This window comes from Homo sapiens, chromosome 14 (assembly GCF_000001405.40).
Source record: "Homo sapiens chromosome 14, GRCh38.p14 Primary Assembly".
NCBI classification, from domain to species: Eukaryota; Metazoa; Chordata; class Mammalia; order Primates; family Hominidae; genus Homo; species Homo sapiens.
Genome location: NC_000014.9, coordinates 68859996 through 68885672, shown reverse-complemented (window position 1 = coordinate 68885672; position 25677 = coordinate 68859996). Strand labels below are relative to the sequence as shown.

At 48.9% G+C, this 25677-nt stretch overlaps 1 protein-coding gene and 2 pseudogenes across 24 annotated transcripts in view; 2 read left to right on the top strand and 1 right to left on the bottom strand.

The window, feature by feature from the left end:
* The window catches only part of ACTN1 (actinin alpha 1), a 105175-nt gene extending 93630 nt beyond the window's left edge, over positions 1 to 11545 (top strand). For 9 of the 24 annotated variants that reach the window (NM_001102.4, NM_001424030.1, NM_001424013.1 and 6 more), the window contains 10 exons: positions 98 to 248; positions 790 to 898; positions 1365 to 1505; positions 2618 to 2800; positions 3081 to 3215; positions 4684 to 4863; positions 5565 to 5711; positions 6604 to 6684; positions 8433 to 8591; positions 10656 to 11545. In NM_001102.4, the coding sequence (NP_001093.1) occupies positions 98 to 248; positions 790 to 898; positions 1365 to 1505; positions 2618 to 2800; positions 3081 to 3215; positions 4684 to 4863; positions 5565 to 5711; positions 6604 to 6684; positions 8433 to 8591; positions 10656 to 10814 (1445 nt within the window). In that variant the 3' untranslated portion in view covers positions 10815 to 11545. Of the gene's footprint in view, positions 1 to 73; positions 249 to 789; positions 899 to 1364; positions 1506 to 2617; positions 2801 to 3080; positions 3216 to 4683; positions 4864 to 5564; positions 5712 to 6603; positions 6685 to 7149; positions 7216 to 8432; positions 8592 to 10526 lie in introns of all 24 variants that reach the window. The other 15 variants (NM_001130005.2, NM_001424022.1, NM_001424028.1 and 12 more) reach the window with 12 other exon arrangements.
* BLZF2P (basic leucine zipper nuclear factor 2, pseudogene) lies at positions 15545 to 19014 on the top strand (annotated as a pseudogene).
* Positions 22880 to 23948, bottom strand: MAGOH3P (mago homolog 3, pseudogene; annotated as a pseudogene).

Sequence of the window (25677 nt, the reverse complement as noted above, 5' to 3'; positions counted from 1 at the left end):
CCAGAAGTGGAGCTCCTGGGGCCCTGAGGGGTGGGCGGTTGGGACCAAGGAGATGCTTCTCACTCCAGCTCAGCCATGTGGCCCTCTCTCAACCCAGGCAAAGAGGCCATGCTGCGACAGAAGGACTATGAGACCGCCACCCTCTCGGAGATCAAGGCCCTGCTCAAGAAGCATGAGGCCTTCGAGAGTGACCTGGCTGCCCACCAGGACCGTGTGGAGCAGATTGCCGCCATCGCACAGGAGCTCAAGTAGGTGGCCCCAGACACCCCTACCCTGTGGTGAGGGGCTGAGGCTGGGCTTTCTCAGCTGCTGGGGGAGGTGGGGGTGTGGCCGTGGAAGATGGGGAGGGTGGGTACAGGTGGGTGCCCAGGTGGGGAGGGAGTCAACGCAGGAGACAAATATCTCTCCTGGTGGGGAAGGAGCCCGGGACCACTGCCATCCTGTTAAAGGCCACCAGTTCTCGCCTGTAGCTAGTACAGGAGCAGAGGGTGACCAAGACTTGGTTCTGAGCTTTCTCGTTGGGCCTCGAGGGCTCCCTGCCATTGGCCATTGAGGTGAAGGCTGGTGTCACCTCCAGCCATGACTGGGAAAGGGGTCTTCTTTGGTCTCCTCTCTGCCAGTCTCCTGAAAGAGGGGAGGGGTGGAAGGAGTGCCTGGAAGGTCTCTTGAAGGGAGCGCCCCTGGCTCTTCCCAGCACCACCAGCCACCCCACTGACAGCCTCAGAGAGAGGGAGATGGGCCATGAAATTAACCTGGGTCCCCTGACTTCCTTGTCTCTTCCCTCCCCAGTGAGCTGGACTATTATGACTCACCCAGTGTCAACGCCCGTTGCCAAAAGATCTGTGACCAGTGGGACAATCTGGGGGCCCTAACTCAGAAGCGAAGGGAAGCTCTGGAGGTGAGAGGTCCCAGAGGGAGATCTAGGCCCATATCCGGCAGCCCTGTGGTGCCCCTTCCTGCTTCTTGACTCTCTTTGCTTTGGGCTAAAAGACTCTATGGCTTCCCCAGACCTCCCCCAACCCTGGCCTAAATGTGGAAGATTCACTTTGGCACAGGATTTGGACTTTGCCCTCATGGCGATGCCTCCTCTCTTGCCCTCACATGTCTCATCCTCCCAGTTTAGTGTGCTTTACAGCCCAACCCCAGCCATTTGAGAACCCTCCTATTCTACACACCAGACTCTGGGACCCAGGCCAGGTGACTGTGATGTGAGATGGTTCATACAGCTGGCAGGAAGAGCTTGTTCTTTCTGCCTGATTGAGTCAGTGCTTCTAGACCTGGGGCTCACCAGGAGGATCTTGATAGGAGTGGGGGATGATTCTGGACATCACTGTACTAACCCTTACCCTATTTGGCACTCCCAGCGGACCGAGAAACTGCTGGAGACCATTGACCAGCTGTACTTGGAGTATGCCAAGCGGGCTGCACCCTTCAACAACTGGATGGAGGGGGCCATGGAGGACCTGCAGGACACCTTCATTGTGCACACCATTGAGGAGATCCAGGTGAGCCCCACCTCCACTCCCCGGAGGCTGGCTCCCCTGGGGCCCCTGGCCCATGCTCTGTGGGTCACTTTTGCAGGACTGCCCCCTGAGGAAGAGCATCCTAAGGATTTTATAGACCCAGAACCTTTGCATTTGACTTATTTTGACAAGATAATATATGTGCATGATCTAAAATTTAAAAAAAATTAAAAAGGTTTATGATAGGGTCTCCCTCTGACTCCTTATCCTCCAGCCCCTAGTTCTCTCCCCAAAGGTAAGAATTTGACTACAGTCTCTGCACACAAGCAAATGTTTGTTTCCATGCTTTGTACCCTTTTTGTATAAAACAAAAAGTACCTTTTATTATATACCATATTCTGAACCTTGATTTTTATTTATTTTATTTTTTTAGAGACAAGGTCTCACTCTGTCACCCAGGCTGGAGTGCAGTGGTGGGATCATAGCTCACTACAGCCTCCAACTCCTGGGCTTAAGCGATCCTCCTGCTGCAGCCTCCCTAGTAGCTGGGACTACAGGCTCACATCACCATGCCTGGCTAATTTTTTAATTTTTATTTTTGTGGAAGTGGGGTTTTTTCTTTGTTGCTCAGGCTGGTCTCGAACTCCTGGCTTCAAGAGATCCTCCCATTTCGGCCTTCCAAAGTGCTGGGATTACAGGCATGAGTCACTGTGCTCAGCCATGAACCTTGATTTTTAATGTAACATTTATTTGGAGCTCATTTCACATCAATTAGCAGCTTCCTCAATCTTTCATGCAGTTGCAGAATACTGGATTTAAAAGGTTTTGCCAGGAGCTAAGGAAGCTCATGTTGTGGGAGGTCACCTGGGTAGTGAGCCTCTGGAGCAGCCCTTCTCCCTGACCTGTGAGGTGGTGAACACACCAGAGAGGTTGCTGCTAATTTGACCAGCCCTAAGGATGAAGCTGTTGCTTTTGATGACTGTGGCTTCACCTTCCTGTGGCCATACCTGCCATCCTGGTTCTCAGCCACAAGAATCTTTGAATTGATGCCTCCTGGTCTCCCAGCTGGTGTGGAACTCAACCTCCATGGCCCTTCCACTCACTTCTAGCGCTCCCTTTGTTCCTCTTGCCCACATATTCCCATCTCTGTCCAGGGACTGACCACAGCCCATGAGCAGTTCAAGGCCACCCTCCCTGATGCCGACAAGGAGCGCCTGGCCATCCTGGGCATCCACAATGAGGTGTCCAAGATTGTCCAGACCTACCACGTCAATATGGCGGGCACCAACCCCTACACAACCATCACGCCTCAGGAGATCAATGGCAAATGGGACCACGTGAGTTGAAGGGCATGGGCCGAGCCATTGTAAGTTTCATAAAGGCAGGGATTTTTGTCCATTTTAATTGATTTTTGTCAATTTCATTTAAAATTGTCATATAGTAAACACTCATTGTTTGTCCAAATGTCAAATGACTGGGTTTCCAGAACAGGTTGACACCTTTACTCCTGTTCTGTTACTGACCGGCCCTTCCCCTTCTGGGTCCTCCATTTCCTCATCTGGCACATGGACAGATGGCTGACCCATCCTGAAAGTCGCCTTGTTGTTCCTGCCCCAGGTGCGGCAGCTGGTGCCTCGGAGGGACCAAGCTCTGACGGAGGAGCATGCCCGACAGCAGCACAATGAGAGGCTACGCAAGCAGTTTGGAGCCCAGGCCAATGTCATCGGGCCCTGGATCCAGACCAAGATGGAGGTGGGTCCCATGCTGGGAAGCAGTGCTGGGGCTCCCACCCCTCCCCCCCGACACTATCCTAGCCAGCCAGGCTGCCTGTCTCCCTGGGTGGGACCCATGGAGGACTGAGGCCCGGAGCCCACCGTGGGTCTGCTGTTCTGTAGAAGGCTATGGGGGCCTATGTGAAGAAGCCCTGCTGGCAGTATCTGATTTGGGAGCAAAGACATATGAGGACACCACTAAGAAGCTGCCTGTGGGCTCACGCCTGTAATCCCAGCACTTTGGGAGGCCGAGGCAGGTGGATCACCTGAGGTCAGGAGTTCGAGACCAGCCTGGCCAACATGGTGAAACCCCGTCTCTACTAAAAATACAAAAATCAGCCGGGTGTGATGATGCGTGCCTATAATCCCAGCTACTTGGGAGCCTGAGGCAGGAGAATCGCTTGAACCCGGGAGACGGAGATTGCAGTGAGCTGAGATTACGCCATTGCACTGCAGCTTGGGCAACAGAGCAAGACTCTGTCAAAAAAAAAAAAAAAAAAAGAAGCTGCCTATGAAAGTCCCATACTAGGGTCAGTTCCTGAGCGCCCGATCCAGCTTAATCCCCTTGATGTCTCTTGTTGATCAGGCCTCCCCTTCCTCTCCTCCTCCTCCTGAGCAATGAGCCTGGCCAAAGAAAATGATTGATCTTCCCAGAAAGAGAACTGAACCCCAGTAGAGCATAGAATTTTTTTCTGAATTGTGTGGGGTAGATAGTGGGGTGCTTTAGCAGATCAGGAAAGAGGCCCTGCTTGGCTAGAGCATGGCCTCTGAGTTCCTTAAGAACAGAGACCATGTTGAGTTCACATTGGTATGTGTCGCTCCCCTGCACCCCTGCCAGCACATTGTCCTTAGTAGACAGGCAGGAAATATCTACTGAATTGAACTGAGTGGACAGAAAGTGCTTTCACAAACAATGGTTGTTTACATGGATGAATAACAGACAGAAATGGGCATTAGGCCTGGCCTGCAGGGATGAATGGGATTCAGGTGGGCCAGGGCAGGCATCCCAGGAGGCGGAACAGCAGGAGCAAGAGCATGGGTACTGAGGAGGTGAGTGAGGTCTGCCGAGGCTACGAGGATCCTGGTTCAGTGGGTCCCTGAGATGGACAAGACTTGGGAAAGGGCATTTGAATGGCAAGCAGAGGAGTGAATATTTAGGTTAGAACTGACCCTGCATCCCCTTTCTGAGGCTGACAGGTACCCGAGAGTTGGTAGGTATTTCATCCAATGATAACAGTGCTTGTTATATACCTCTGTGGTGCTGTTTCCATACCTAAGAGCACCCATGCTAAAAGTGTCTTACTAATTACCAGTGATGGCCTCCTTAGGGCTGGGATGGGAACTGAGAATCATTTGAGGGCTTAATAAGTGATTTTGGAGGCCCCAGTCCCCACCCTATGGGAGCAGAGTGAGGTGGTCTGACAAGGTGCTTCCTTCCCGGTGAGCAGGAGATCGGGAGGATCTCCATTGAGATGCATGGGACCCTGGAGGACCAGCTCAGCCACCTGCGGCAGTATGAGAAGAGCATCGTCAACTACAAGCCAAAGATTGATCAGCTGGAGGGCGACCACCAGCTCATCCAGGAGGCGCTCATCTTCGACAACAAGCACACCAACTACACCATGGAGGTGGGTGGGGCTGGCCTTGTTCCTCTTCGGGAGCCCGTGGCCCCTTCTGCTCTTTCTCCTGGGTGGGGAAGTCTCCAAGGGAACAGGTCATAGTTGGAGGATAAATTAACTTCACCCCTGAAGCCTCACATCTTCAATTTTTAGTACCTTCTGCTTTCCCAAGGAATGTGTTGAGAATGCACATTTCTAGGCCCCATCTCTAGAATTTGCTTCACTAATTCTGGGGTGGAGTTCAGAATAAGCACTTCTGGTGGTTCTGGGTGCTGGTGGGCTCCAAACACTGGCTCAGGCATCTGCTTTGAAAATGGCTACTTGTTTTAACTGTGCAAGAGTGTGTGTGTGTGTATGTGTGTGTGCGCGCGTGGCTGTGGGGTTGGAGGTTCGGGGAATCACACATTTTTTTGTCTCAATCTTTCCTACCCCCAAATCTGCCCTCCTTCCTGACCTGACCCCCATTGGCAAGTCCTGGTTTCTTTGCTCTCCCAGGCAGAGGCTGCCACCCTGCCCCTTGGTCATCTAGGGTCCTTGTCCTAGTAGGTTGTCCTTGTCCTGGTTCCCCTTCCTCTGGTGACACTCAGCCACACAGAAGGCCAAGTTTGATGGCTTTGGCCATTTTGATGGTTGGGGAGTAGGATGGGCAGGGGCCGCCAGGAGCCCAGGCCTGGGACCCCTTTGCTGACAGGCCCCTTGCCGTCCTGCAGCACATCCGTGTGGGCTGGGAGCAGCTGCTCACCACCATCGCCAGGACCATCAATGAGGTAGAGAACCAGATCCTGACCCGGGATGCCAAGGGCATCAGCCAGGAGCAGATGAATGAGTTCCGGGCCTCCTTCAACCACTTTGACCGGGTGAGAGCCCCATCCTGTGCTTTCTTAGTGCAGCCCCCAACCCCTGCCCCAGGGCCCTGGAGGGCACTTCCCCGGGACGTGGGCTGCCATGCAAGTGAGGAGGGAGAGAAAGGGGAAACTGCCGTCAGCCTGCCCTGACTCAATGCACCCTGCAAAACCAGCCTTGGAAAACCTGTGTTGGTGCCCCATAAGCTTCCCTGCTTTCCGGGAGAGAGTGTTCAGACTGTGGGTAGAAAGAGGACCTTTGACCCCTGATCCTTGCTCTCCTACCATGAGGAGTCACCCTCAGTGAAGGCTTGCTGCTCCCTGGCTGTGGAGACAGAGGAGCAGAAGAGACTCCTCCTGCCCTCGCTGGCCCCTACCCCTACCCCGACCTCCAGTGGCCTCTGGGACTCTGCTGGGGATGTCAGAGGCCTTGGTCCTGGGTTCCCATCCCAGCTCTGGGTCAGGCTGGGTTTTAGTGGGCTGCCCCTTCCCAGTGCCCTGGGGCTTGCGGGCGGTCCCAAGGCGTGGGAGCATGGGCTTGGGTGCTGCCCACCACCCCACCTGCTTCATGGCTCTCTAGGCACCTGGGGGGAAGCCCCTGGGGAAGCGGGGGGGCTGGGTCACTTCTGAGGGAGCTTCTCACCCTTGTGGCTCATCACACCCCACTGTGGTCCTGCTCCCTGGAGCAGGGCTGCGTGTGCTGGGGGGAGGGCACCCCCTGGAGCCTCGTTGGTGTGTCTAACCGTGTGCACTTTTATTTCCCCTCCTCCCCCGCCCCCCCACCCTCCCTCCGCATGCCTGTCCCTGTGTCTCCCCACACACGCCACCCTCCCCCGGGGCATGCCCCCCTCACGGCTCCACCTCCCTGACACCGCATGGCTCGCTGCCTGGCGCACCGCGGCCCCAGGATCACTCCGGCACACTGGGTCCCGAGGAGTTCAAAGCCTGCCTCATCAGCTTGGGTTATGATATTGGCAACGACCCCCAGGTACTCGCCTCCTGCATGGAGCACGCTCAGGGGTGGCGTCTGGGGCAAGAAATAATGCGTTTTTCCTTTTTCTCTTCTCTCTGTCTGGATCTCCTGTCCCCCTCCTGTGGGCCATGGGGCTCGTCCTCTCCTGCTGTCTCTGTCTGCCCCATCACTGGTCCACCCTCTGCCCTCTGCTGTCTTTCATGGCAACCTACTGGGTGCCCGCTGTCTTCCGTCCTCGCTGCTCTTCATCCCATGGGTGGATTTTTGCATCTCCCTGCTCTGTCTTCCTCCTGTCTTTGGACATTTCCACCGATGTGTGTTCGCATCTTCTCCTATGTTCCTTTACCTATCCTGACCCCCAAAACCATAAATCTCATCCCCGTTCTGGCCATCTGTTCCTGTCTTCCTGGCCCCGGGCCGGCCCTTCCTCTTCCTGCCTTCCCGACCCTCCTTGTGTCTTGGTACCACTGCCCCCCACAGAAGAAGACAGGCATGATGGACACGGATGATTTCCGCGCCTGCCTGATCTCCATGGGTTACAACATGGTAACGTAAACCCCACCCTCTGTCTGCCCTGGTGAGAAGGCAGCCAGCTGGCGGGAGCAGCCAAGTCCCAGGAGTGGCAGGCTGGAGGCCCTCAGGCTAGGGGCTGCCCTCCCTGGAGGAGCCCCAGGGCCCATGTCCTTGGGGAAGATGGCTCCCTGAAAGCCGGCCCGGCCACGGGCGTGTGTGTATCCGGGAGGCCTGACCTCCTCGCCTCAATCTCTGTGCCACTTCATCTTCTGGTACTTCTCACTCCCACTGTGGACAGCTGGGCTGACCCTGAGGCTGGCAGGAAGGACTGGTGGTGTGGGACATCCCAGGTTTCGGGCTGGCATGCGTCACCTCACATGGAGCATGGAAACCGAGACTTCCACCTCTGTCCTGGCGGTGACTCTGGTTGGGCCTGCCGCCCCTCTGGATTGTCCCAGGCCGTCCCCCACCCCCCAACCTTCCTAGTCTGTCCCCCCTTGCACAGACATTCTGAGCAGAGCAGTCAGGTGACTCCTGAGCCATGGTGCCAAGTGCAGAGCCCACAGGCTGTCCAGCGCAGGGCATGGGCATGGGGCTAGGAGCAGTGAACCTGGGAGTAAATCCCAGCCCTGCCGTCATTAGTGTGTTACCTCAGGTGAAGTGGGGGAACCCTACAGGACTGTTACAAGGATTAAATGAAGGAATTTAAGTGTGTGCATGTATCTGGCATGTAGAAAATACAGTGTGGTGGGGAGAGAACAGATTCTAGAACCAGACTGCCTGAGTTCAAATCCCAGTTCTGCTGCTTCCTGGCTGTGTGACCCTGGGCAAATCACTTAGCCTGTCTGGGCTTCAGATTTCTCATCTGTACAATGAAGATAATAAAATACCTATCTTTATGGTTGTAGTAAGGATTAAATGAATTGAAATAAAGCTTTTAGATTAATACTTGATATGCTACATAGGTGTCAGCCATTGTTAATCATTGTTGTCATTATAGTTATTATCAACATGATTATTTGCTCTAAGAGGAACTCAGGCATCTGCAGGGTGTGGGGAACCCTGAGCTGGGTCTCCCCTGTTGGGTGTTGTGTCCCCATCATACCCTTAGGACAACCCAGGTTAGGTCAGGGGGATGTGCCCTTCTCTTCCAGCCATAGGCTGCTCTGAGCCCCCAGGGTCTTCAGTCCATATGAGATATTCCCAGCAGGCCATGGGCTGACAGGCCTGGGTTTGGCTGTTCCCTCCAGGGAGAAGCAGAATTTGCCCGCATCATGAGCATTGTGGACCCCAACCGCCTGGGGGTAGTGACATTCCAGGCCTTCATTGACTTCATGTCCCGCGAGACAGCCGACACAGATACAGCAGACCAAGTCATGGCTTCCTTCAAGATCCTGGCTGGGGACAAGGTGGGTGTCCTATGGGTGGGCACTGTGCTGGGGTGGCAGGCACTGGCTGGACTGTGATCTAAAGGGGTGAGAGCTGGAACATGAACTCCTCAACCGCCCCTTCTTCCAGGGTCCTTTGGCCTCTCCTTGTTTGCCACTTCTACTCATTTCTGTAATGTCTTGGGCTCAGCTAAGGTGTCAGGACACAGGATTAGTATAAGTGACCCTTCCAGGATCACTGCATGCCAGTGAGGGACTCCATAGCTGGGATGAAATGACGGGTGGCAGATGAGAATAGAGTGGTGTGGATGTGTGATCGGACTCTTGGAGTCCATCTGACAATCCCTGGGACTTCACCCTTGGTCTCATCCCGCGCATCGGCACGGACTATAATGGGAGCAGGAAGAGGGACTGTGGGACCCAGGAAGGAAGCATGTCTCTCGTGTTTTCTACCCTGAGCAGTGATCTACTCTGGGTTTCCCAGTCTCCCAAGTACCCTGCAACACTCCACCTGGCAGTGGATGGATGCAGGGGGTTGTCTCCATGGATGCCAGAGGCTCAGTCCAAGTCTCCACTGTTCTGAGATGGTCATTGGTAGACCTGGATGTTACCCAGAACCACAGCCATCTCCAGCCCAGGGACCTGAGGGGATCTGTAGAAGCCACAGATCCCTCGAATATTAGAGAAAAGACTCACAGAGCAGCCAGAAGAAATGGTGGGGGTGGGGTGGGGGCCTAGGGTCTGTGTTCTGTTCAGTAAAAGTCACAGTAAATCCTTATGCCATCCTTCCTTCAAAACTGAAAAGATTCAGGCCAGGCACAGTGGCTCACGCCTGTAATTCCAGTACTTTGGGAGGCTGAGGTGGATGGATCAGGTCAGGAGTTCAAGACCAGTCTGGCCAACATGGGAAAACCTTGTCTCTACTAAAAATACAAAAAATTAACCGGGCGTGGTGGCGTGCACCTGTAATTCCAGCTACTTGGGAGGCTGAGGCCTGAAAATCGCTTGAACCTGAGAGGTGGAGGTTGCAGTGAGCCAAGATTGTGCCACTGCACTCCAGCCTGGGTGACAGAGTGAGACTCCGTCTTAAAAAAAACCTTAAAGAATCAGTTAGCGAAGCAAAAGCCAATAGGGAGGGAATATAATTTCTGGAATGTCTGTCTATAAGGGAATAAAGGCTGAACCTACAAAGAAGTCCCTAAAGTTCTGATTTAAATACAAGAACAACGTTATTTGCATCATAGCACTTTGGAGCTGGAAGGATCCTCAAACCATTTAGTTGTAGTGGCTAATTTTGTAGAGGAGGAAAACTAGGGCCCAGCTAGGGGCCTGGTCTCCCAACTTTTGGCTTGACAGTGGCAGCTCTACCCTCCCTCAAACTGGTTCCCAGGGCACTCTGGCAGAGGTAGGGCATGGTGCAGGGCGACTACCTTGTGGGTCAGAGCCCCCAAATGAGCTCTCCTGGATCTTGAAGCTCCTAAAAGAAGCAGCTTCCAAGTAGACCTATCATGAGCAAACCTGGGAGAAGGTAGATACCCAGGCTGGAGCTGCTTGCATGGGGCAAGGCCCGCATTTCTGCAAAGCTGCTTAACATAGCCTGGCCATATTTGGGAAGCAGTGATGCCCAAACATGGATGGTGTTCTTAATCTGCTGGAGGGCTCATTAAAATTAGACTGTCTGTCCGAGGCGTCCAGAGAGCTCAGTTGAGTGCGTGTGGGGTCTCCCCAGGAACCTATACGCTCCACCAGAGTATCTGCTGATACTGCTCCAGCACGCAATTATTGCAGACTAGTGTGATTCAGAAGATGATTATAGGTGTAATTGGCACATGGAATTAGATTGGAAAGTGGCTTACAAAGTAGGTACTGAAGTGGAAAACCTGAGAGAATTTTAAAAATACATGTTGTGTATGCGGTATGTACATGTGTGGATATTTACGTCCGTACATCCTGTAGTTACAGGAGGGAGGCAAAATGCAAACGGCACATGCTGCCTTCACGCCGCCAGGCTTTGCGGCTGTGTCGGGCCGCGCCGCTTTACGGCTGCTGGACTTTGCGGCCTTCCTGACCACTCTCTCCTCGCAGAACTACATTACCATGGACGAGCTGCGCCGCGAGCTGCCACCCGACCAGGCTGAGTACTGCATCGCGCGGATGGCCCCCTACACCGGCCCCGACTCCGTGCCAGGTGCTCTGGACTACATGTCCTTCTCCACGGCGCTGTACGGCGAGAGTGACCTCTAATCCACCCCGCCCGGCCGCCCTCGTCTTGTGCGCCGTGCCCTGCCTTGCACCTCCGCCGTCGCCCATCTCCTGCCTGGGTTCGGTTTCAGCTCCCAGCCTCCACCCGGGTGAGCTGGGGCCCACGTGGCATCGATCCTCCCTGCCCGCGAAGTGACAGTTTACAAAATTATTTTCTGCAAAAAAGAAAAAAAAGTTACGTTAAAAACCAAAAAACTACATATTTTATTATAGAAAAAGTATTTTTTCTCCACCAGACAAATGGAAAAAAAGAGGAAAGATTAACTATTTGCACCGAAATGTCTTGTTTTGTTGCGACATAGGAAAATAACCAAGCACAAAGTTATATTCCATCCTTTTTACTGATTTTTTTTTCTTCTATCTGTTCCATCTGCTGTATTCATTTCTCCAATCTCATGTCCATTTTGGTGTGGGAGTCGGGGTAGGGGGTACTCTTGTCAAAAGGCACATTGGTGCATGTGTGTTTGCTAGCTCACTTGTCCATGAAAATATTTTATGATATTAAAGAAAATCTTTTGAAATGGCTGTTTTTTAAGGAAGAGAATTTATGTGGCTTCTCATTTTTAAATCCCCTCAGAGGTGTGACTAGTCTCTTTATCAGCACACACTTAAAAAATTTTTAATATTGTCTATTAAAAATAGGACAAACTTGGAGAGTATGGACAACTTTGATATTGCTTGGCACAGATGGTATTAAAAAAACCACACTCCTATGACAGCTCTTTGCCTGCTCCTTGCTTGATGTTTTCTGGAAGTGTGTGTGGGGTCAAGGATGGTGTGGGGCACCTGTATCTACTCCTAATGTTTTTGACCCTGCTGTGTTCAATCTTCTTACACTTCAGTTTCTTCATTTTAAAAAGGAAAAGGTAATTTCTTCACAGTCTCCTATGAGTTGGACAGAAAGTCATGGATGTGTAAAGGACTTCTTGATGATAAGCCCCACCTTCATTTTTCCACGGCACCAAACAGCCCTGTGACATCTGCATTCACCCCACTCGTTTTATTTTTGCTGCAGTGAACAGCTTGAGTTGTCTCTTAAGAGTCATCTCATCCCTTGCTATTCGAGATGACCCACAGATGGCAGCTGTTCAGCATCACCTGGGAGTTCATTGGAAATACAGAATCTCAGGCCCCACCCCTGAATGTCGAATACTGTGTGTACTGCTCTAGCTTCTCCAGAGTAAAAGATAGTCTCTATAGGATGCCGTCTGCTCTGGCACCAGGCCCCCTGAGCCCATGCCTTTTATCTGACGTTTGTTTTGCAACCCATTACATCACTTGCCCCCGGGCATCCTTTAAATTTCATCCTTGGCTAATTCTCATTGTAACCGGTTCCAGCTTGCTTTAAATGATTGGGTGGATGGAATTCTCCCCATTGACAATTGACAGGTGGCAATTAATTGTTCATGCCTCAGTGGGATGAATCCATTACATCTCTTTCCTGCCTAATATTTTTATCTACCTCCGACTTTTTTGTAGGGACTTTGTTGATATCCTCATGAAGGCCCATCTCTCCTCTCTCTGGCTTGTCCATCCCTTGACAAAACCTTAATGACTGTTCTGGGTACCAAATCTGTGGCAGGAGTGTGACCCAGCTGCCACCCACCTCCTCCATCACTGGACCAGCTCATAGTTGTCCCTTGGACATGGGGTTAGTGCCCAACAAGTGTAGTCATTTGGCTAAGTGAGTTACTAGGAGGGAGAACAGATTCAATTTCCTGAGGTGGTGAGGAGAGACTGAAGGCTTTGCCAGTTCTTTGGCCTATGCCAGGCTCTCTGGTACTTCTGCAGGTGGCATGAGCTGTGTGAAGCGCCTCTAAATTTAAGGCTCCAAAGCTCTCCAACACAAACAAGACTTTAGGGTCTGCGTTATGGACGCCAAGGGAAGAAATACAACCTCAACATCAGTGCCTGTCAAGGGAGGCAGATGTGAGCTCGTCTGCCTGCCACCGGCCATTTGGACTACCTTGGGCAAGTGACCTCCTTAAATGGGGCCGATAATGTTGCTTTCCTTCTCTCCCTGGCACACAGTAGGCATTTAATAAGTGGCAATGGGTATTGTCCCTAGAGTTGTATAAAAAACCAGCTCTAGCAGGGCGTGGTGGTGCATGTCCGTAGTGCCAGCTGCTTGGGAGGCTGAGGTGAGGATCACTTGAGCCCAGGAGTTTTGAGTCCAGCCTGAACAACATAACAAGACCCTGTCTGTAAAATGGGGGAAAAAAGTCAGCTGTGCTTTGTTATGCTGTTTAAAATATTCTTAAAGAAAAAGGCCTGATTACAGAAAAATACCATTAAGGGGAACCCTCTTTCAGTCTCTGTGCTGAGGGTAGTAGTAGGCTGAGTAATGGTCCCCCAAGATATCCATTTCCGAGTCCCTGGAACCCATGATTGTTAATTCATATGACAAATAAGACTTTGCAGATGGGATTAAGAATCTTGAGGTGGGGAGATTGGTTCTGGATTATCTGGGTGGGTCCTTAGGGAGCAGGCATGTCGGCATCAGAGGAAATGTGACGACAGAAGCAGGGGTTGGAGTGATGTGAGGCCACAAGCCAATGAATGCGGACAGCCTCTAGAAGCTAGAAAAGCCAGGGAAACAGATTCTCCCTGAGAGCCTCCAGATAGAATGCAGGTCTACAGACCCATTTTGGGTCTCTATTCTCCAGAACTGTGAGATAATACGTTTGTGTTGTTTTAAGCCACTTCATTTGTGATAATTTGTTACAGCAACCATAGGAAGCTAATATGTGCTCCATCGTTCATGCCCTGGGGAGCTGGCTGCCTCCCTGACGTCAGTGACCCGTGGTATAGGCATGACCTGCTGGAGAAACTGCCCTAGCTTCAAAGGCCTGAGTGTGCAACATTGGCCCTTGGGAGGCTGCCTTAGCTGCTGGACTTGATCTCCTAAGCCTTAAAAGCGCCATTCATGGAGAGGGGAGAAGGAAGCTTCCAAGTTCTGAGAGCCCAAAAAGGCCAGAATAGCTGGGCCCAGCAGGAGATGTAAGGCTTCCTGTTGTCTCAGATGCAGGAGCCAGAGGGCAGCCCAGCTCCAGGTAGGCACCAGCCACAGAACTGGAAAGCCCTTGGGAGGCTGAGGTCCTGCCTTCTCTATAGCTTATCTTGGCCCCTCTCTGTGTGTCAGCCTCCCTCCTCTCCCTGCAGCCCAGCTTTGGGTGCACACCTCCCCATGGTGGCAGAGGTCAATTCCACAGTGCCTAGTGTTGACATTTTCTTGACACGAGACTAGTCCCAATTCCAAATGTCCAGGAGGCACTTGGCCCAGTCTGACCTGGTGTGATAAAGTGATGCCTGTCAGTGGATAAGGCTGGGGCCGTTGCTCATGGGCTAGATTGGGTATCACCTTTAGGATAACCCAAAAGGTGGCCTCATAAGAACTGTCTCAGTTCATCAATTTTCACATTTTAGCATCTCTGATATTGAGATAGAGCATACAATTGATCTCACTTTAGGATTAATGGTGTCTTACAATTGCTGTTGGCCAGATAGCAGTCATGACTTAGTGTCATTGCCTGCCTATTTGAGACAGGAATGTGAGTCCTGTCTTTTGTCTCAAAAACTTCCATTAATCTTACCTCCTGGTAAGATCAAGCTCCAGTATCAAAAGTTGCATAGTGGGTACCCAGAGAGAAAATGCTGATGATCATAGTGTAGTACTGGCTTACGAAATGCTAGCCAGGGTGCAATGGCTCATGCCTATAATCCCAGCACTTTGGCAGGCTGAGGTGGGCGGATCGCTCGAGCCCAGAAGTTCAAGACCAGCCTGAGCAACATGATGAAACTCCGTCTTTACTAAAAATACAAAATTAGCCGGATGTGGTGCCGCATGCCTGTAATCCCAGCTACTTGGGTGGCTGAGGCAGGCGAATTACTTCAACCTGGGAGATGGAGGTTGCAGTGAGCCGAGATCATGCTGAAGGAAGGAAGGGAGTAAGGGAGGGAGGGAGGCGAGAGAGAGAGAAAGAAAAAGAAATGCTGCATTTTCAGTTCTATTGATGGCACAGCAGGCAACGGTGTGTGAAAAACAGGCACTTAAAGACTCTGGGCCGGGCACGGTGGCCCATGCCTGTAATCCCAGCACTTTGGGAGGCTGAGGCGGGTGAATCATGAGGTCAGGAGTTCGAGACTAGCCTGACCAACATGGTGAAACTATGTCTCTACTAAAAATACAAAAAATTAGCTGGGTGTGGTGGTGGGTGCCTGTAATCTCAGCTACTCGGGAGGCTGAGGCAGGAGAATTGCTTGAACCCGGGAGGCGGAGGTTGCGGTGAGCCGAGATCGCGCTACTGCACTCCAGCCTGGGTGACAGTGTGAAACTTTGTCTCAAAAAAAAAAAAAAAAAAAAGACTCTGACAAGGGATTCAGAAGAGAATTTTAGCAAATTTGGTTTCCTCCTATTGTCCATGATACAAGTCTAAAAAAGTCTGAGCTCTTTCAATAAGTATATAATAATGTACATATATGAGTACATAAAGAACATAATAAAATTCTAAAGAAAGCATTGTGTTATGGTTTAACTGGTTACACTTTATAGCTCATAAAATAATGGAGCATCTATAAATCTGATCATATCTGAAGAGTATAATATGGCCTATGGGCCCTATTGCCTGTCAAATCCACCAAATCTGGATTCTATATTTGATGGAAGAGGAAAAGAAAGATACATCCTAAACTTAATCCAAAAGCAATGTAAGGGATGTCTGGAGGGCCTGGGAAGGTCTTCAGAGTGGAAGAAGTCTGTGAGAAGTTAACCTGGTGATACCGATTCAAAGAGCCTGTCAAGTGAAGCCCCCTAAAATGGGGAGAATAAGAATCTTAGAGGTTGTTCAGTAGAAGTCTTGGAATGCATTTTCAGTGGTTAAGGGAAAAAAATGACTACTCTTAAAAGTTGAGAAACCAAAGTCGCCCTTACTTCATCCCCAAACTGAGGAGCCACCTAAATCTGTTGAAGTTCCCTCTGGGGTCCAATCCAGAAGCCATCATAGCCTTCAGGGTCCATGGAAGAAAGCAGTTCCATTACAGAGAGCCCAGGAGTTCAGCCAGGGAAAATGCTCACTGAAAAGCAGTAGAAGTGGAAGCTGTAAGAATATTAGGTCCCTCTGGGCGTGATGGCTCACGCCTGCAATCCAAGCACTTTGGTGAGGCCAAGGCGGGCAGATCACCTGAGGTTGGGGGTTTGAGACCAGCCTGACCAACATGGAGAAACCTAGTCTCTACTAAAAATACAAAATTAGCTGGGCGTGGTGGTGGGCGCCTGTAATCCCAGCTACTTGGGAGGTTGAGGCAGGAGAATTGCTTGAACCCGGGAGGCAGAGGTTGTGGTGAGCCGAGATTGTGCCACTGCACTCCAGCCTGGGCAACAAGAGCAAAACTCTGTCTCAAAAAAGAAAAAAAAAAAAAAAGATTATATCCCAAAGCTACTATAACTTATGATAGCTCCAACAAAAATATAAAAATACAATAACACATGATAGCTCCAACAAAATTATGATGTCTCTGGGACATCATAAAGGAGAATTCCTTAGTCAGAGGGAGTTTACAGAACCTAATAAGGAACTCTCAGAGTAAAGAATGTATTGGAGGCTGGCTCACGCCTTTAACCCCAGCACTTTGGGAGGCTGAGGCAGGTGGATCACGAGGTCAGGAGTTTGAGACCAGCCTGGCCAATATGATGAAACTCTGTCTCTACTAAAAATACAAAAATTAGCCGGGTGTGGTGGTGCGTGCCTGTAGTCCCAGCTACTCGGGAGGCTGAGGCAGAAGAATCGCTTGCACCTGGGAGGCGGAGGTTGCAGTGAGCCGAGATTGTGCCACTGCACTCCAGCCTAGGCAACAGAGCAAGACTCCGTCTCAAAAAAAAAAAAAAAAAAGAAAAGCTCAAGAATTATGAAAGAAGGTTACTACAGGACAAAGAAGGTCTTTGAAACCAGCTCTGTATACAGAAGGAGGTAAATCATGAGATTAAAAAGTTGCTGATGGCTTCTGTTGGGGATGATCTTCAGTATCACTTTGAATGTCTAGTCCTTGAGAAAAATCAGCTTATTTTAGAAAATGAAGCCCTAGGTTGAAATACAGCTCAGCTTTCCAAACAGAACGTATGTCAATACAGTGTGATACATGGCAAAGTAAATTCCTTGCAAGCAGGGTAATGGCAGATGAGTTAACCAAGTCAAGAGCATCAAGAGCAGTTTTGTTTTTCTTTTTTTTTTTTTTTTTTTGAGATGGAGTCTTGCTTTGTTGCCCAGGCTGGAGTGCAGTGGTGCAATCTCAGCTCACTGCAACCTCTGCCTCCCGGGTTCAAGCGATTCTTGTGCCTCAGCCTCCCAAGTAGCTGGGATTACAGGCACCCATCACCACGCCTGGCTAATTTTTGTATTTTTAGTAGAGTTGGGGTTTTGCCATGTTGGCCAGGCTGGTCTCGAACTCCTGGCCTCAAGTGATCCTTCTGCTTCAGCCTCCCACAGTACTGGGATGACGTCAAAAACGTGATGCACGTGGGGCCATACAGGATCTCCTAAGTGAATGGGAACAGTTTCTTCAGGAAATGATAGCTACCCAGAAATTATTGGAGGAGCTCTTAGTCTCCTTGCAGTGGGGAAGAGGGCAACTTTACTCCCCTAATGTACAACCCCACAGCACAGCAGAGCTGGCATTAACAAATCACAAGTTGGCAAAAGCAGCAAATTCTCATCTTCTGCGAAACGTTGGCATTAACTATCAAAAAAAGATTCCATCGACAGTTGAATTCTGCAGCACCCCAGCTGAGAAAATGGCTGAAATGGTTCTATAAACTTTAGATCCAACTACCTATACAGAGAGCTCACCTGATAATCCATGTTTTGAGTTTTCACCAACCACCTTACTTGCTGCAAAGAAAAATTCTGGATGATTTCATCCCTAGGCTAGATATGAAAATATAACTTTCAATTTCTGCAGTCACTGCCAGGGAGAACTTACTGCCCTTTAACAGTCAATATATTGGAGGCATGCTACAGGTACTTGCTTATTACCCGAGAGTCATTATTTGGGAGCTGGGGTTCTTAGAATGCTAGAAGTAATATCACTTCCTATTTACAAAGTGTATATACCCAAAGATGTTTTATGTACTAGACTCCAGATTACCCCTTCTTAATAAATATCTCAGGGTAATAAAAGAATGAAACTGTATTTAAAATTTAAATACAGTTGCATTTTTTTTCTTTGAGCTTATACAATGTTTTAGAAACAGTCTACTTTTTATAAATATCAAGTTGGATATTCTTGTGTGTTAAACTGTATTTAATATTTAAAATAGAGAATACTTCCCAAGCAATACATGATGCTTTTCCTAAAGGACTCTAAAAGTAAAAGGTTCTATAACTTTCTTTTAAGCACTAAATTATTATTTATCTTACTGGATATTTTATATGAACAGTGTTAATTTAGTTACACTAAAGCAAGGGTAGGCAAACTACAACCATGAGTCAAATATGGCCACACCCATTCATTCACTATTGTCTAGGTTGTTTTTGCTCTATAGCTGCAGAGTTGAGTAGATGCAGCAGGGCATGTATGGCTTGCAAAGCCTACAGTATTTACTGTTTGATCCATTACAGAAAAAGTTTTCTGACTCCTACTCTAAAGTAATTGTAGTAGAAGGCCAGAGGGCTTTCTTTCCCTTTATGGTAATTTTTTGAGCTACAAAAGAGCCTTGGATAAGTGAATGAAGGGATTAATCTTTTTAAAATAAATGCTGTAAGTTAGAAAAAGAATAAATATTTTAGAGCCAAATTAACAAGTACTTCAGCAAAACATGTTAGTTTTATGCAGGGGATTCTGTATTCTGAATGGACACAATCTGACATAGATAAACAGATTCTTAACTGTTGACTCTTTAGCAAATGCAACACACAGGAATATCCATTTGATATTTATAAAAAGTAGACTGTTTCTAAAACATTGTATAAGCTCAAAGAAAAAAATGCAACCCATCAATTAATATATATTATGTAATATATACTATTGTATATTTATTATGAGCCATCATAAATACCCATTGATTGGCCTTTAAGAATAATTACAAAATATTTATATCAAATTATGCAAATTTGTTGCAGAAGTGCCTATCAGTAGAGAAGTCTTCAAAAGACAAACCTGGTCAAATAATAATATATTTTAATGTCAACTTAAAAAAGGCAATATAAAAATCCCCTCTTATCACAGATTACCTTAAGATATACTTTCTAATTGCACTCTGTAGCATCTTCCATTTCTAATCATGCTTCTTGTCTAGAAATCTCCTTAAGTCCTACTTTTCCAACCAACAATGCAAGAGAAATTTTGCAAACTCCAATAGCTGGGGAAGCTGGCTTCTGGAAACAAGCTATTTGAAAGATGGCTTGTGAGCACTTGTAAAAGGATAGGGGGGGCCAGGCGCGGTGGCTCACGCCTGTAATCCCAGCGCTTTGGGAGGCTGAGGCGGGTGGATTACAAGGTCAAGAATTCAAGACCAGCCTAGCCAACATGGTGAAACCCCATCTCTACTAAAAATACAAAAAATTAGCCAGGTGTGGTGGCAGGCACCTGTAATCCTAGCTGTAACCCTAGCTACTCAGGAGGCTGAGGCAGGAGAATCACTTGAACCCATGAGGCAGAGGTTGCAGTGAGCTGAGGCCAAGCCACTGCACTCCAGCCTGGGCAACAGAGCGAGATTCCATCCCCCGCCCCCCCCCGGATAAGTTACTGGCTCAAATAACTGAAGTGTTCAGAGGTAATGCTGACTTTCCAGGTGGCTGAGGCAGAGGCTCAAATGCCAGCAGGGCCTAGCTTCTCTGGCTGGACCCCATTCTCAAAAGTGTCTCTCTCCAAGGCAGCAAAATGACTTCCAGCAGCTCCAGCTTCCCCACCTTGTGATTGCAAGTCTGGCAGAGAGAAAAAGGAGTGACCCCAGCTGGAGGCAGGCAACATAGTGGCCCCAGCCAGGACAGTGGGTTTTGCTTATTGTTATATGTAAAATGTTTATTCAGAAATAGAATGCTTGTTCCTCGGCACCACAAGGAAAAATTAGCATTCAGACAAGAAGTTTTCTCAGCAAGGCAATTTTACTTTCTGCAGAAACGGTGCTCCTTGCAGATGGAACAATGGTGGGAGCACACCTGAACAAAGGAGGGAAGCAATTTTTATCCTTTACACAGCTTGTCCCTGCTACTGTGTCCTGTCTCCATTGGCTGGAGCCAGATCTCACAATCTAAACTAAAACCCAACAGGCTAATAATTTAAAACTTTTCTAAATAGGTAAAGGCAAGGGAGAACAAAGGAAAAGAGGAAGTTGCTTATGCCAAATAGGGAAGGGGCATAGGCTAAGAGCTGGGACATGCCTGTGAGCACGTCCGGCACAAATATCTTGGTTAAAGTACAAGGACATAGACTGTATTACGTGCCTGTGAGCATGTCTAGCACAAGTATTTTGGTTAAAGTATAAGGAAATAGAATGCACTTATTCCTTTATATCTAGCAGCTACATAGGATAGGGCTTAACAAAGAGTTAATAGCACAAAGCAAGGAGGCTTGAAGGAAGTTAGTCTTTAAAATAAACTATTATTTCTAACATGATTTATTTTTTAACAAGAAGGAAAACTTTGAAGAGGAAACTTTTTACTTTCTACACTTACTGTTTGAGGCCTAGCTTGGGTTGTATGCTCACCCTAGGGTGGCGGGTGCGGTCCCACCCAGGCCACCTGAATTCAGAATGGCCTGGCCAGTATGTCAGGGCTCCTTATCACAAGCAACAGAAACCCTTTCTGCCTGCCCCCAAAACTCATATAGGGCGTGGGCTTCTCCAGAGGCAGATGCCGGTCGAGAGACAGGACAGACATCTATGAGCATGGGGAGGAGTGGGCTCCCAGCCCGGATCCAGGAGAAGCGCTGTTGGGACAATAGGCAGCCAGCACCTGAGTCAGAGGTGAAGGTAGCCTCTAGCAGCAGTTGTCACCACCCCGCCCGTGCCTGTCCCACCCTTCAGTTTGTTCCAGCAAACTTCCACCTGTGTGTACCTGCATCTGTGTGCCTGGGGCTTTCCTCCCAGAACTGCAGAAGACCACTCTGCCTGTGGATGGAGCAGGCTACTGAAGAAGCAGCCACCAAGAGCAGCCCTCAGCCCTCAGGGTGGGTGTCTGAGGCCCTCAGCTCCCTCACACTTGGATGGGATGATTCTGAGGCACGTGTTTTAGACTGTTTCTTGGCGCTTCTTTCTCCCATGGGATTCAGTGCAGATGCCCATGCGGTGCTGAGCTCATAGCACAGCTTCACTGTTAAGTCCCCCTTCCCTGAGTCTCTTCCTCATTTCCATCCCCTGCACCTCCCACGTAAACCACTGGTGCTAGAACCCTCATCTAGTGCGTGCTTTGGGGTGTCCCAAACTAGGACACAGCCCACTCTCTGGGACCTACCTGGGGACAGTGACTTCACCTGGAAGTCCCGCTCTAGACCTTTGAGATGGGCTGGGAAGGAGCCCCACACCAGGTCCTCAAACAGCACTGGAACACTTAGACCCACAGGTAAAGAAACCATTCCTGCTTCTGCGGTAAGGAGGGGGCACCAAGGGCTTGGGAAGGAGCTGCCACCTCTCCTTCAGCTGCCCCCTTGTTCTTCATTGGCAGCCCCCACGGACCAAGCGGGAGAACAGGAAGCTCCTGTGTGCCTGCAGGAGTGGGGGTCCAGGCATGCAGGCATGTGGCACAGCAGGGGTCACCTGTGGAGACCTCGGTGCCTGTAGGGGACCCCAGGTTTAGAAACAAAATTCTCATTTTATGATTCAAGACAATGAGAAAACAGTTCTTTAAGGAAAACATCTCTCTATAGGTTATATAGGTTATATTTTATAGGTTGTATTAATATTTTATAGAACTTAGGCTGGGTGCGGTGGCTCATGCCTGTAATCCCAGAACTGTGGGAGGCCGAAGTGGGTGGGTCACCTGAGGTCAGGAGTTCGAGACCAGGCTGACCAATATGGTGAAACCCCATCTCTACTAAAACTACAAAAATTAGCCAGGCGTGGTTGCATGCGCCTGTAGTCCCAGCTACTCAGGAGACTGAGGAAGGAGAACTGCTTGAACCCAGGAGGCGGAGAGTGTAGTGAGCCGAGATTGCGCCATTGCACTCCAGCCTGGGCAACAGAGCGACACTCTGTCTAAAAAAAAAAAAAAAAAAAAAAAAAAAAAATTATAGAACCTATTCTGTGTATTCTGTGATAGGTTATATCTGTTTACTAAGGGCTGCCTGGAATAGGATGCATAAAATGAACTACTAGGATAAAAGAACTAACCCAGTGTCCAGTAAGCCCCCATGAAGGCTTCCTTCCATCTTCTGCACCTCTGCAGCTGGAAAATGCTTTTTTAGAATGGCCTTCCTAAAAAACGAGCGAGTGGATGCTGCCCTCCAGTGGCCAAGTGTGCCCTTAAAGCATGTCAGAAGAGGACCAGGAAGCAAAATCAAACCCTTCCCCCCTGCTTCTTCCCAGTGCTTCACAGACTGCTCCTAATGGGAATACTGCTGGGATATTCCTGGGGTGCTGAAGGGGCTTGGATCTGTGCCACAAAGGGACAGCAGAAGCAACAAGGTGCATTTAGCAGGAGAAAAACAATAGCTAACATTTGCTGAGTGCTTACTTTGCATTGGCCTAAATCTCAAATGATTGACATGCCTTTAATCATCACACATACCATTGTTATCTCAACTTAAAAAAACAAGGCCAAGCTATGTGGCTAATGCCTGTAATCCTAGCACTTTGGGAGGCTGAGGTGGGCAGATTGCTTGAGGCCAGGAGTTCAAGACCAGCCTAGGGAACATAGTGAGACCCTGTCTCTACAAAAAACCACAAAAATTGGCCAGGCATGGTGGCACGTGTCTGTAGTCCCAGCTGCTACTTGGGAGGCTGAGAGGGGAGATCCCTTGAACCCAGGAGGTTGAGGCTGCAGTAAGCTATGATCACACCACTGTACTCCTGCCTGGGTCACAGAGAGAGACCCTGTCTTTTTTTTTTTTTTTTTTTTCAGGATTTGGTATGTTTTATTAGAGCAAATTTTTAACAAAAGGTGGCTTTTATTTACAGAATTTAATGTGGGGACAGTGGGGACTGTCCAACCCATGTGGACTCAAGTAAGGGTAACCATTAAGCCTGCTAATGTATTTTCTTATTTTCAGTTTACATACAATTTTTTTTGTTAGCTTCACATTAATAAAAAAAACCAATATTGTAAATGACAAATAACCCCTCCCATCCCTTAATTAAATATACAAACAGCTTGAAAAACATACAATTTAAATTGGGTTAATCTTGAAGTGTAATCCAATGAGACTGAAAACTAAACAATTCAAGTCTTGTACCAAATAGTAAAATACTCGAAGGCCTTCGGGATCCTTTGACTGATTTACATCAATAAGAGAACCTATTTTTGATGTGGTAAAAGATATGTGGGCCGGGCGTGGTGGCTCACACCTGTAATCCCAGCACTTTGTCATCCCAGCACCACCACCAAGGCGGGTGGATCATGAGGTCAGGAGTTTGAGACCAGCCTGGCCAACATGGATAAACCTCGTCTCTACTAAAAATACAAAATTAGCCGGGTGTGGTGGCTTGTGCCTGTAATCCCAGCTACTTGGGAGGCTGAGGCAGGAGAATCGCTTGAACCTGGGAGGCAGAGGATGCGGTGTGCCGAGATCGCACCATTGCACTCCAGCTTGGGCAACAGGGCAAGACTCCGTCTCAAAAAAAAAAAAAAAAAAGATATGTGCTCATCTCCAATTACAATTTCAAGCTCCTGTCGGCCAGCCCTGTCAGGGGGAGGCCACAAACCATCATCTTCTTTTGTGATTTCATTGTCATCAATAATTCTCTTCAGTTCTTCCATTAAACTCTTGTGCACGTAAGCCTCTTTTCTGATCATGACGTCATTTTTGTAATTGCTACTGTTGGCATATCTAAGCTTTCCATCCAGCTGAAATTCGGACTCCAAAAACTCATGCCCAAACTTGCCCTTGTGCCCTACGTAGTAGCGCAGGTAGAAATCGCTAGCCATAACCATTTTTGTCCCTGGGAAGCCCGCTGAAAACCCAGACAACTGAGAGACCCTTTCTTAAAAAACAAACAAAAACAGGAGGCCACGGCCTGAGATCTCCAGTGAGTGACAGAGCTAGGACTTGAAACTATGTTTCCCTCATCCCCAGGAGCGATATTTTATCCACTTCACCAGTGGTTCTCAAACTTTGCGATGCCCAAGAATTGTTTAGGGAGATTGGTAAAGAGGCAGCATGTAGGACTGTGTCCCCAGAGATTCTGATTATTTCTAAGAGAAGTAAAGACAACTGGGAATTTGTCCCTAGGACATTCTGGGTGGGGTCTGGTAATGGAAACAAGTTCATGGACCACCTTTGAGAAGTGCTAGATTAAAACCTCATCATTACCAAGAGGGAGATTTTGTATGGATAGAAGAGAGAACTTTCTAATAGTCATATCTATATTCTGATCCAACTATTGCTGCGTGCCAGCATTTGGATTGGTGCTTTCATATACACAATTTCATCTCCTCTTGGTGGCTCTTTGAGTAGGTGCCTGCAGTTTGCAGATGAGGATACCAGGCTCTGATACCTTCAAGAGAGTATTAATCTCTCCCTCCTTTCTTCTAACTTGGGGCCCTGCACCTGCTTCATTTGGCATTCCATTATGTGCTTATGGTGAGTCTCCCTATGGAAATTGTGCACCTTGATGTTGTTGAAGGCCTTTGAGTGTTGTCTGGCGAAGGTCACAGATTGTATCTGTTGAGCTGAAATGCCCCATCTGCTGTGAACAGGCTTGAGCGATGAGGAACTGAGGGACCTATGGAGCAGCTGCCCCATGTGTCACTAAGGTGACATCAATCCTGGTATCTGGAGCCGCTAATCCCTGGGGGAAGGTCCTGTGGAGGAGAGAAAGTGCTATAACTGGACATTTGGGAGCCGAGTCCTGGTCACCTTGGGGCTGCTTCTCAGGGGAACCTGCCAAGTGCTGTCAAATCAGAACATGTCCTCCGCAGGGAAAAGATCCCATGAAGGCAAGCCCAGGGTTGTCAGAGGGTCCCAGGAACCAGAGTAGCATGAAAGCTCTGAGGAAGGCTGGGAGCAGGGTGAGGCTAGCTATCTCACAGTTTGGGCCCTGTCACTCCCAGTTCCTCCCCAGAATCGGTAGGGCGTCTCTCACTTCCACCCCTGAAGGTGCTCCTCTCCTTACATTCTGCCCCTCACACTTTCCCTTTTTTTTTTCTTTCTGAGACAGAGTCTTGCTCTGTTACCCAGGCTGGAGTGGAGTGGTGCGATCTTGGCTCACTGCAACCTCTGCCTCCTGGGTTCAAGCGATTCTCCTGCCTCAGCCTCCTGAGTAGCTGGGACTACAGGCATGTGCCACCACGCCTGGCTAATTGTGTTTTGTATTTTTAGTAGAGACGGGATTTCACCATGTTGGCCAGGCCGGTTTTGAACTCTTGACCTTGTGACCCGCCCCCCGGTTCAGCCTCCCAAAGTGCTGGGATTACAGGTGTGAGCCACTGTGCCTGGCCACACTTTCCTCTTTATACCATGTTGTATTAGCTGATTTTTTTTTTTTTGCATGAATCAAGTGTCACTTTTATAATCATATATAAAAAAGTTTCATTTGGAGAAAACTACAAATGGAATGATCTCCAGGAAAGCAGGGTGTAGGGGAGAAAAACTAAGATCTTTCCTTCACCCACCAAGAGGTTCATGGCTGACACCCCTGTAACAAAAGACAGATTAACAAGAGGAAAGTTTAACAAATTTATTTAACCAAAGTTTTATG